This window comes from Homo sapiens, chromosome 2, assembly GCF_000001405.40.
Source record: "Homo sapiens chromosome 2, GRCh38.p14 Primary Assembly".
NCBI lineage: Eukaryota > Metazoa > Chordata > Mammalia > Primates > Hominidae > Homo > Homo sapiens.
The window spans coordinates 84,556,881-84,569,751 of NC_000002.12; the positions used below are offsets into that span (position 1 = coordinate 84,556,881).

General features: G+C 35.1%; 1 protein-coding gene across 14 annotated transcripts in view; it reads left to right on the top strand.

The window, feature by feature from the left end:
• Positions 1-12,871, top strand: part of DNAH6 (dynein axonemal heavy chain 6) — a 360,018-nt gene that overhangs the window by 97,309 nt on the left and 249,838 nt on the right. For 13 of the 14 annotated variants that reach the window (XM_011532650.4, XM_011532649.3, XM_006711956.3 and 10 more), the window contains one exon: positions 855-1,055. In XM_011532650.4, coding sequence (XP_011530952.1) covers positions 855-1,055 — 201 coding nt within the window. Of the gene's footprint in view, positions 1-854; positions 1,056-12,871 lie in introns of those variants that run through there. The other variant, XM_047443590.1, reaches the window with a different exon arrangement.

Genomic DNA, 12,871 nt, shown 5'->3' on the forward strand with positions numbered 1-12,871 from the left:
GATGCCATTTTGTAAGGATATGTAATTTTCCATTGTTTAAAAGCACCAGAACTTATATAACTGTACTTCTACTTTTGAACCTTAAGGGTTTCTCTAATTAGTTATTAATATGAGAAATACTGCAGTGATTGTCCTTGCACATAAATCTTTGTTTACACGTCTATTTTTCCCATAGATTAGCTTTCTGGAATATAGATTACTACTCAAAGAATATAAACTTTGAACCCTCCCTTTAAATTTTCCCATAGACTTCCTTGGCTTTCCTTCCATTATGACTTGCTAGTGTTTTGTTCACACTTCAAATATAGAACTCATCACCATGTGTTGCAATTTTTTTGTCTCTCTCAATTAGAAAACATATGTCCTGAAGTTAGGGCCATGTCTTTTGATTTGTCATATACTCAGAATCAGCACAATACCTAGCCTGGTTGAATCAGTTATTCTTATTTATTTTAGCATTTCATAAAATTCAAAAATATTTATAGGCCGGGCGCGGTGGCTCACGCCTGTAATCCCAGCACTTTGGGAGGCCGAGGCGGGTGGATCATGAGGTCAGGAGATCGAGACCATCCTGGCTAACAAGGTGAAACCCCGTCTCTACTAAAAATACAAAAAAAAAATTAGCTGGGCGCGGTGGCGGGCGCCTGTAGTCCCAGCTACTCGGGAGGCTGAGGCAGGAGAATGGCGTGAACCCGGGAAGCGGAGCTTGCAGTGAGCCGAGATTGCGCCACTGCAGTCCGCAGTCCGGCCTGGGCGACAGAGCGAGACTCCGTCTCAAAAAAAAAAAAAAAAAAAAAAAAAAAATTTATAAATATATGTGTTCACATTTATGTTTATGCTTTTCTCTTTAACAGGATGGTATTTTGGGTGCAGTTAATCACTGTCAAAACACTGTGTTATCAGTTCCTAATCTCGTGCCTGATTCGTATTTTGATGCTTTCACCAGCCCTTATATTAACAACAAACTTGAAGGAAAAACCTGTGGAACTGGGCCAAGTTTAGCAGCAGTATTTGAGGATGATAAGAATTTTCACACAATTATTTCTCAAATAAAGGTATGTTTACTCTGACTAAAACTATTCTATAATATTCTCAATTTTTATGAAATTAAGTAATATATATTTTTTCTTTCTTATCTTTAAATGTTCTACATGTGAAAATTGGCATATGCCTAAATCTCTAAATGGTAAAATTTGAAAATAATATTTGTTCTCTAGAAATTGTCCTGTTAAGCATGAAATAATTTTTTAAAAGCATTAAAATAGGGCCTGGCACAGTGGCTCACACCTGTAATCCCAGCACTTTGGGAGACCGAGGCGGGCAGATCACGAGGTCAGGAGATCGAGACCATCCTGGCTAACACATTGAAACCCCATCTCTACTAAAAAATACAAAAAATTAGCCAGGCGTGGTGGCGGGTGCCTGTAGTCCCAACTTGGGAGGCTGAGGTAGGAGAATGGTGTGAACCCGGGAGGCAAACTTGCAGTGAGCCGAGATCGCGCCACTGCACTCCAGCCTAGGTGACAGAGCGAGACTCCATCTAAAAAAAAAAAAAAAAAGGCATTAAAATATCTGGAGAAACAGTTACTTATCATTAGCAATCCATCGATCCACATGCATGTGTTTTTGGGGAAGTAATCCTGGCTGTTGAGGATGCTGAGACACAGGCAGAGCCAGGGTGACTCACCAGCCAACACAATTTCTTTTACTAAAGTCATTTTTTCATTACATGTTTAATGTTTTGTTAAAACAAAAACATGGTGTTTCACTATTTTGGGCCATAGCCACTCAAATGCAAGCACTAACTAAAGCATGCTTGAAGACTTTGAAAATAGTATTCTACACATAAAATTTTTATCTTGTCCCAATTTTTAAACTCAAAAGCTCACTTATTGAGGTGATCGATGTGAGAAGGTAAAGAAACAAGCATTATTCCTCGGCTTGCTTCTCTCCTACATTTCTGGGTAACCTAATCTCCTGTATGGAAAAATAGGAATGCAGCCCTCAATATACTGCAAATGCCTTTTCTTCTTGACACCAAAATGATACTGTAATTTTCAAACCTAAAATTTACCCATTTGTCAGTCATAAATATCCATTATATATACATTCCTATGTAACTTAAAATTAGCATAGTGTTTCAATCTCTTTATTTCATATCAACATATGATTGTAACTGTCATGGTATGATTTTAAAAGCAAACAACATTTTCCACCTACTACTGTCTCTGCTTATGGTGGAATTCTTATAAGCTAGCAGTTAATCTAAGGAGCTGAGGTTAATCTAAAGTCACAGCCAGAAAGAAGCCCATCCTACATGCAGAAATGATTTTAAAAAGTCCTGGTGTATCAGAGGACTGTCTACAGGAAGGAGGCCTAAAAGTGCAAGCTACTCAAGATGCCATTAGTTCTGGGGGAGGAAACAAGGTTAAAAATAAAAATTTAAAAATTTAAAAAATTTCTAAAGAAGATGAGGCATTATTTGAACATTGGATGGTGCAGAGAAAATGAAGCAACTACTGAAAATGTAAGTGCTGCAAAACAAAAAAGAACCTACTTGGGAGGCTGAGGTGGGAAGGTCACTTGAGCTCCAGCGGCAAAGGCTGTAGTGAGCCAAGATCATGCCACTGCATTCCAGCCTGGGCAGCAGAGCAAGACTCTGTCTCAAGAAAAAATCAAATAAATGAGAGTATATCCAACTCTTTTCCTGTTACCATAAAATAAAATAAAACATATTTCATTTTGCTCTACTGACAGAACAGAATGCTCTTGAACTAAAAATTTTATAAATCACCCAATCCCTGAGCTAAAGAAATTAAAAAAATTAACTACATGCAAGTCTACTAACAGCCATGAAGCAAAAACAACACTACACACTGAAGTAAATATTCTCAAAGAAGCATTCAAATATACAAAAAGCCACAATGAATTAAAAATTAAAAATACAAATGGAAAAGAAAAAAGACAAAATCATCTCAGAAATGAAGACTAAATTATATAGTGCTCAAAGGAGAATAAGTTCAAAAGTTTAACACTACTATAGAAGAATGATGGGAAAAAGTAATGAGTATAGAAGAAAGATAAGAAAACAACCAAGAGAATGAATGAAAATAAGATAGAGAAATCAGTAAAATGGTTCAGAGACAAAATAATTATAATGGAAGACAGGCAAAGAAGAAATAACATACATATAATTGGTGTGTCTGTAAGAGAAAATCAAAAGAAGAGGATAGAGCAAACATTTATAACTATAGTTCAGGAAAAGAAAATTTGAATCTGTGTATTGAAAGGGCCTACAGAGTTTCTTGGAAAATTACCCACAACAATCAACTCTAAGATATAGCCTTTTAAAATTATTAGATTTTAAGGCTAAAGAATTTTTCTGCAGGTCTTACAGAGACAAGAGAATTAGACTAGCATCAGACTTCTCAAAAACAACATACGAAGTAAGGCAATAATGGAGGAGCATTTAAAAAAAAACTCATGGAAAGAAAATGTGAATCAAGAATTTTATCTAGCCAACCTAGTCTTTTAAGTATCAAGGCTATACAAAAATAGTTTTCTTTTTTTTTTCTTTTTTTTTTTATTATTATTATACTTTAAGTTTTAGGGTACATGTGCACAATGTGCAGGTTAGTTACATATGTATACATGTGCCATGCTGGTGTGCTGCACCCATTAACTCGTCATTTAGCATTAGGTATATCTCCTAATGCTATCCCTCCCCGCTTCCCCCACCCCACAACAGTCCCCAGAGTGTGATGTTCCCCTTCCTGTGTCCATGTGTTCTCATTGTTCAGTTCCCACCTATGAGTGAGAACATGTGGTGTTTGGTTTTTTGTCCTTGTGATAGTTTACTGAGAATGATGATTTCCAATTTCATCCATGTCCCTACAAACGACATCAACTCATCATTTCTTATGGCTGCATAGTATTCCATGGTGTATATGTGCCACATTTTCTTAATCCCGTCTATCATTGTTGGACATTTGGGTTGGTTCCAAGTCTTCGCTATTGTGAATAGTGCCACAATAAACATACGTGTGCATGTGTCTTTATAGCAGCATGATTTATAGTCCTTTGGGTATATACCCAGTAATGGGATGGCTGGGTCAAATGGTATTTCTAGTTCTAGATCCCTGAGGAATCGCCACACTGACTTCCACAATGGTTGAACTAGTTTACAGTCCCACCAACAGTGTAAAAGTGTTCCTATTTCTCCACATCCTCTCCAGCACCTGTTGTTTCCTGACTTTTTTAATGATTGCCATTCTAACCAAAACAGCATGGTACTGGTACCAAAACAGAGATATAGATCAATGGAACAGAACAGAGCCCTCAGAAATAACGCCGCATATCTTCAACTATCTGATCTTTGACAAACCTGAGAAAAACAAGCAATGGGGAAAGGATTCCCTATTTAATAAATGGTGCTGGGAAAACTGGCTAGCCATATGCAGAAAGCTGAAACTGGATCCCTTCCTTACACCTTATACAAAAATTAATTCAAGATGGATTAAAAACTTAAACGTTAGACCTAAAACCATAAAAACCCTAGAAGAAAACCTAGGCATTACCATTCAAGACATAGGCATGGGCAAAGGACTTCATGTCTAAAACACCAAAAGCAATGGCAACAAAAGCCAAAATTGACAAACAGGATCTAATTAAACTAAAGAGCTTCTCTGCACAGCAAAAGAAACTACCATCAGAGTGAACAGGCAACCTACAAAATGGGAGAAAATTTTCACAACCTGCTCATCTGACAAAGGGCTAATATCCAGAATCTACAATGAACTCAAACAAATTTACAAGAAAAAAACAAACAACCCCATCAAAAAGTGGGCAAAGGATATGAACAGACATTTCTCAAAAGAAGACATTTATGCAGCCAAAAGACACATGAAAAAATGCTGATCATCACTGGCCATCAGAGAAATGCAAATCAAAACCACAATGAGATACAAAAATAGTTTTCAACATGCAAGAACCCAGGGAATTTGGTGCTTATTAGGAACCTACTACAGGATGAGTTTCATCTAGCTAAGAAATAACTTTGGGGGAAAAAAGCTGATGCTGATGGGGAATATTTAACATATTTAATTGTAGATCTATATAAGCCTAAAAAAAGATAGATACAAGAATAGGAAACTAGTATATAAATGTATGTTCTAATGAAGTAGAAATAGTGCAACTGTAAAAATAGAGAAGGAGGAGAATAAGAGAAAAGTAGAATAAGGTTATTGATTGAGGTACAGTTAATAGGCTGGAATTAAAGAATATCAGTAAAACCCAACAAATCAAAGTATGAAAGGTTAATAAGGAAACAAGTGACTAATGGTATTTTTAAAAAATATATCGTCACTCAGAGAAAGAAAGAAAGAAGCACACATATAACCATAAGACACATAGAAAATAATATGACCAAGCTGGAACCAAATATATCAGTAATGTGATGAATATAAATGAGCTCAATTCATCTATTAAAAGAAAAAGATTTTCAGTTTGGCTCACAAGACAAGACAAAACAGTATGCTGGATATAAGAGAGAAATCCAAAAGAAAATGATTCAAAAAGGTTAAAAATGAAAAGATGCTCAATGTTGTAGGGGCAAAGGTAAACAATAAGAAAGTGGGGCTTGTGATCCTATGAGTCATGGATCCTTAATGCCAGATGCTATGATTTGCTAAGAGACCTCGCAGGACTCAGTGTATAATTTTACTCATGGCTATGATTATTACAGTGTAAGGATATAAAGCAAAATTAACGAAGGGAAAAGGCACATGGGATAAAGTTCAGAGGAAACCAGGCACAGCTTCCAAGAGTCCTCTCCATTGGAGTCACACGGGAGGCACTTAATTCCTCCAGCAGTGGATTTTGACAACACAAGTGAAATATCACCTAGCAGGGAAGCTCATTAGGGTCTCAATGAGGAAGGTTTTATTTGAGGACTGTCTTCTTTTTGGCAGAATGATGTATTTTCCTTTGGGTATTGATATGGTTTCACCGTGTTCCACCCAAATCTTATCTTGAATTGTAGCTCCCGTATCCCTAAGTGTAGTGTGAGGGACCTGGTAGGAGGTAATTGAATCATGGGGGCGGGTTTTCCCGTGCTGTTCTCGTGATAATGAATAAGTCTCAGGAGATCTGATGGTTTTATAAAGGGCAGTTCCCCCGCACATGATCTCTTGCCTGCTGCCACTTAAGACGCAGCTTTGCTCCTCCTCTGCCTTCTGCCATGATTGTGAGGCCTCCCCAGCCATGTGGAACTGTGAGTCCATTAAACCTCTTTTTGTTTATAAAGTACTCAGTCTTGGGTATGTGTTTATTAGCAGTGTGAGAACAGACTAATACAGGTACATACCCAATAATGGGATTGCTGGGTCAAATGGTAGCTCTGTTTTAAGTTCTTTGAGAAATCTCCAAACTGCTTTCTATAGTGGATGAACTAATTTACATTCCCACTAATTGTGTATAAGCATTCCCTTTTCTCCATAGCCTCCCTAGGTATGGAGAAATAACTGTTATTTATTAGCTTTATAATAGCCATTCTGACTTGTGTGAGATGGCATCTCATCGTGGTTTTGATTTGCATTTCTCTGATGATTAGTTATAATTAGCATTTTTTCATATGTTTGCTGGCTGCTTGTATTTTGCCATTTTTTGATGAGGTTGTTTTTTGCTTGTTGATTTAAGTTTTTAATAGATTCTGGATATTAGACCGTTGTCAAATGCGGTTTGTGAATATTTTCTCCCATTATGTAGGTTGTGTGTTTATTGAAAATTTCTTTTGCTGTGCAGGTGCTCTTTAGTTTAATTTGGTGCCACTTGTCAATTTTTGTTTTTGTTCCAATTGTTTTTGCAAACAACCAACAATTCTTTGCCAAGCCTGTGTCGAAAAGGTTATTTTCTAGGTTTTCTTGTTTTCTAGGAATTTTATAGTTTGAGATTGTACATTTAAATCTTTAATCCATCTTGAGTTAATTTTTGTATATTAGGAAAGGTAGAGGTGCAGTTTCTTTCTTCTGCATATGGCTAGTGAGTTATTCCAGCACCATTTATTGAATAGGGAATCTTTTCCCCATTGCTTGTTTTTGTCAGCTTTGTCAAAGATTAGATGGTTGTGGGTGTGCAGCTTTATTTCTGGGTTTTCTGTTCTGTTCTCTTGGTCTATGTGTCTGTTTTTGTACCAATACCTTGCTGTTTTGGTTACTGTAGCCTTGTAGCATAGTTTGAAGCCCAGGTAATGTGCTGCCTTTACCTTTGTTGTTTTTGGTTAGAATTGCTTTGGCTAGTTGGCTCTTTTTTGGTTCCATATGAATTTTAGAATAGTTTTTTCTAATTCTGTGAAAAAAGATATAAATAGTTTGATAGGAATTGCATTGAATCTGTAAATTGCTTTGGGCATTATGGCCATTTTAACAATAATGATTCTTCCAGTCCACGAGCATGGAATCTTTTTCCATCTCTGATTTATTTCAGCAGTGTTTTGTAGTTCTCCATGTAGAAATCTTTTATCTCCTTGGTTTGGCTGTATTCCTGGGCATTTCATTTTGTGCGTATGTGGCTATCATAAATGGGATTGAGTTATTGATTTGAATCTCAGCTTGACCATTTAAGGTGTATAGAAATGCTACTGATTTTTGTACATTTATTTTGTATTCCAAAACTTTACTCAAGTCATTTATCAGTTCTAGGGGCCTTTTGGCAGAGTCTTTAGGGGTTTTTAGGTATAGAATTATATCATCAGCAAAGAGAGATCATTTGATTTCTTCCCTTCCTATTTGTATGCCTTTTACTTCTTTCTCTTGCATGATTGCTCTGACTAGAACTTCCAGTACTATGTTGAATAAGAGTGGTAAGGGTGAGCATCCTTGTCTCATTCTAGGTCTCAAGGGGAATGGTTTCAACTTTTGCCCATGCAGTATGATGTTGGCTGTGTGTTTGTCATAGATGGCTCTTATTATTTTGAAGTCTATTCCTTTGATCCCTAGTCTGCTTAGGGATTTTATCATGAAGGGATGTTGGATTTTATCAAAAGCTGTTTCTGTGTCTATTGAGATGATCATATGATTTTTGCTTTTAATTCTGTTCATGTGGTGAATCACATTTATTGATTTGCATATGTTAAAACAGCTTTGAATCCCAGGAATAAAGTCTACTTGTTTGTGGTGTATTAACTTTTTGATGTGCTTCTAGATTCTGTTCACTAGGATTTTGTTAAGGATTTTTTGCATCTATGTTCATCAGGGATATTGGCCTGAAGTTTTCTTTTTTCATTGTGTCTCTGCCAGATATTGGTGTCAGGGTGATACTAGCTTAGTATTCAATAGAATGAGTTATGAAGGAAACCTTCCTCTTTGATATTTTGGAATAGTTTTAGTAGAACTGGTACCAGCTCTTTGTATATCTGGTAGAATTTGACTGTGAATCCATCTGGTCCAGGGCTTTTTTTTTTTGTAGTTTTTTTATATTATTTATTCAATTTCAGAACTTGTTACTGGTCTGTTCGGGGTTTCACTGTCATTCTGGTTCAGTCTTGGCAGGTTGTATATTTCCAGGAATTTATCCATTTCCTCTAGATTTTCTAATTCGTGTATATAGAATTGTTCATAATAGTCTCTGAGGATCTTTTTTATTTCTCTAGAATCTGTTGTAATTTCATCTTTGTCAATTCTTGTTGTGTTTATTCTTTTTTCTTTTTATTTGTTAATCTAGAGTCAATTGTTGGAGTGCTGGGTTTAAGTCCTCAATTTCTTTGTTAGTTTTCTGCCTCAATGATCAGTCACTGTTAGTGGGCGTGTTCAAGTATCCCACTATTGTTGTGTGACTGTCTATGTCTTTTCGTAGGTCTAGAAGTATTTTTTTAATAAATCTTTTAATAAATCTGGGTGCTCCAATGTTGGCTGTGTATATATTTAGAATAGCCAAGTCTTGTTGAATTGTACCCTTTATCATTATGTAATGTCCTTCTTTTTCCTTCTTAATTGGTGTTGGTTTATACTCTATTTTATCTGATATTAGAATAGTGACTCCTGCTCTTTTTAGTTTTCCATTTTCATGGTAGGTCCTTTTTCATCTCTTTATTTTGAGCCTATGGGTGTTGTTACATGTGAGATGGTTCTCTTGAAGACAGCAAATGGTTGAGTCTTGTCTTTTTATCCAGCTATCCTCTCTATGTCTTTTACATGGAGCATTTAGACCGCTTAACTAACCCCACATTCAGGGTTAGTTAAAATTGAGAATTTTTTAGGGAAATATTTTTACTGGAATTGTTCACATTAGAAATAGAGCTCCTACCAATATCCACAGAAGATATAGAGAAAGTTACCAAAGAAATACTCCACAAAAAGCACCAGGCCCAAATGGGGGAAATTTATCAAATCTCCAAAGACTAGATATTCACAATGCCACCTCAGTTATTCTAGAATATTGAAAATGCCTGATAGAAAATACTTCTTTCATAATAGCAGCAAAGCAGGTAATATATTTAGGAATAAATTTAATAAGAAATGCTAAAAACCCATATGATGGACACTTTTATGTTTTTAAAAAATCTTCTGGAAGACACAAAAATAGGCTTGGAAAAAATTTCTTAAATGGAATGACTCAACATAATAAAGATGATTTTTCTCTCTAAGTTAATTTATAATTTTAATACATGCCAATAAAAATTTCTTAAATGGGATGACTCAACATGATAAAGATTTTTTTTCTCTCTAGGTTAATTTATAATTTTAACACATGCCTATGAAAATACTGACAAGTTTATAATAAAGCTTATATGCATAAATAGACGTCTAAGAATAACTACCAAAAATGTTGAAAAAAGAATAGCTATGAGGAGTACTATACTGCCCAAATATTTAATGTAAACACTCTATAATTAAAAGAACGTGGTACTGGCACATGAATAGCTGTCAGACCAGTAGAGTAGAATAGACGCCAAAATACATGTAGAAATGTATAAAATATATAGTATCTCAAATCACTGAAACAAATATGAATTTTTCATAAACGTAGCTGGTACAACTGAATAGCTATTTGGATAAAGATAAAATTAGATCTATGGTTCACATTCTACACACCAATATATAAATTAGGGATCTAAAAATAAAATAAAACTGTAAGTAAAGATGGACAAATTATTTTATGATTTGTTCATAAAAAGGGTTATCTAACTATGACTTAAAAATCTGGATGCAAGAATAGAATGAATTGATAAATTTGATTATACAACAAATAAATCTTTTGCAATGAAAAATTGTAAACAAAGTAAAAATACACTTATAAACAGAGAGAATCTATTTGTATTACATATTATAGCTGAGGGCTAATATTTCCAATACTAGAGAGAGGGGAAACCAAAACTAGGTAGAAAAATGGTCAAAACACATTCTTCACAGAAATAGAAAAAAACTGCTTTAAAATTCCTATGGAACCAAAAAAGAGCCTGTATAGCCAAGACAATCCTAAGCAAAAAGAACAAAGCTGGAAGCATCACACTACTCAACTTCAAACTATACTACAAGGCTACCGTAACCAAAACAGCATGGTGCTGGTACAAAAACAGACATGTAGACCAATGGCACAAAATAGAGATCTCAGAAATTAAACCTCACAACCATCTGATCTTCAACAAACCTAACAAAAACAATCAATGGGGAAAGGATTCCCTATTTAATAAATGGTGCTGGGAGAACTGGCTAGCCATATGCAGAAAATTGAGACTGGACCCCTTCCTTACACCTTATACAAAAATTAACTCAAGATGGATTAAAGATTTAAATGTAAAACCCAAAACTATAAAAACCATAGAAGAAAATCTGGGCAATACCATTCAGGACATAGGCATGGAAAAAGATCTCATGACAAAACATCAAAAGCAATTGCAACAAAAGCAAAAATTGACAAATGGGATTTAATTAAACTAAAGAGCTTCTGCACAACAAAAGAAACTATCATCAGACTGAATAGACAACCTACAGAATAGGAAAAATTTTTGCAATCTGGGCAAAGGACATGAACACACATTTCTCAAAAGAAGACATTTATGTGGCATATGTATATTATATAATACATTATGTGGCATATATATAAACTCAACATCACTGATCATTAGAGAAATGCAAATCAAAACCACAGTGAGATACCATCTCACACAGTCAGAATGGCAATTATTAAAACGTTAAGAAACAACAGATGATGGTGAGGCTGTGGAGGAATAGGAACGCTTTTTACACTGTTGGTGAAATTAGTTCAACCATTGTGGAAGACAGTGTGGTGATTCCTCAAAGACCTAGAACCAGAAATACCATCTGACCCAGAAATCTCATTACCGGGTATATACCCAAAGGAAAATTCATTCTATTATAAAGATATATGCATACACACATTCATTGCAGGACTATTCACAATCACAAAGACATGGAATCAATCCAAATGCCCATAGTGATAGACTGGATAAAGAAAATGTGATATATATATACCGTGGAATACTGTGCAGCCATAAAAAAGAATGAGATCATGTCCTTTGCAGTGACATGATGGAGCTGGAAGCCATTATCCTCAGCAAACTAACACAGAAACAGAAAACACCATGTATTCTCACTTATAAGTAGAAGCTGAACAATGAGAACACATGGACACAGGGAGGGGAACAACACACACTGGGACCCATCAGGGTCTGTGGGGAGGGAGAACAACAGGATAAATAGCAAATACATGTGGGGCTTAATACCTAGGTGATGGGTTGATAGGTGCAGCAAACCACCATGGCATACATTTACCTATGTAACAAACCTGCACATCCTATCCTGCACATGCATCCTGGAACTTAAAATTTAATTTAATTTTAAAAAAAGAAAAATGATCAAAACTTATGATAAAACATTCACCAAACATAGCATCTAAGCATATGAAAAGATAGTCTACTCATAAGATAAATGCGAATTAAAACTGAGATATAATTTCTCAACTATCAGATTAGCAAAATTAAAAAATATACCAACACTTTCTGGTGATTACCCTATGGGTAAACAAACGCTCTCACATTAAGCTTGTGGGAATGCAAAAAATAAAAGAACATTTTGCAAAACAAAACTATACATGCATTTACCTTTTGATCCAACAATACAACCTTTAAAATGTATCCTAAAAATACGTTTTCAACAATACGTAAGTACATATGCACTAGATTACTTACTGCAGCATTGTTTATGACTGCAAAATATTGTAAACTACCAAAATAGCCATGTATAGAAAAATTATTGAATAATCTATGGTATATCTACACAAAGGAATACTATGCAGCTGAATAAATGGATGAAGAAGTTGGTTATTAATTAATATAGAGTGATTTCCAGGATATATTGTTAGATGAAAAAGGCAAAGTACAAAAGAATATCTATAGTATACTATAGATATTCAGAAGTTTATGTCAGAAGTAGGAAGGAAAGGGAGATAAACCAGAAACTAAGGAAATTAGTTACCTAGAGGAGGTAATGTGAATGGTGTAGGAAGGGTGAGGATGGTGGGTAAAAAGTGAAAAAAATGGGGAAGTGACTATTTTCTGAGTATACCTTTTAATATAGTTCTTAAAAAATCAACAAAATGGAGAGCAAAACCCTAAAACAAAATACAAACAAAAAGAAATAAACCCACATGTATTTCAAGTGAAATACATAACCACACTAAATGGATGGGGGAAAATAACTAAACCAAGTAACTTTTGAGCACAGTATTTTGGCCATGTATCCTGTGGATGAAAAACCACCATAACTGCAGCAAATACTGAACTCTAGTTAGTAGGTTTGTTTTTTGCAGTGGTATTAGTGTATTCGCAATGTTGAAACTACTTTCTGTGTATTTT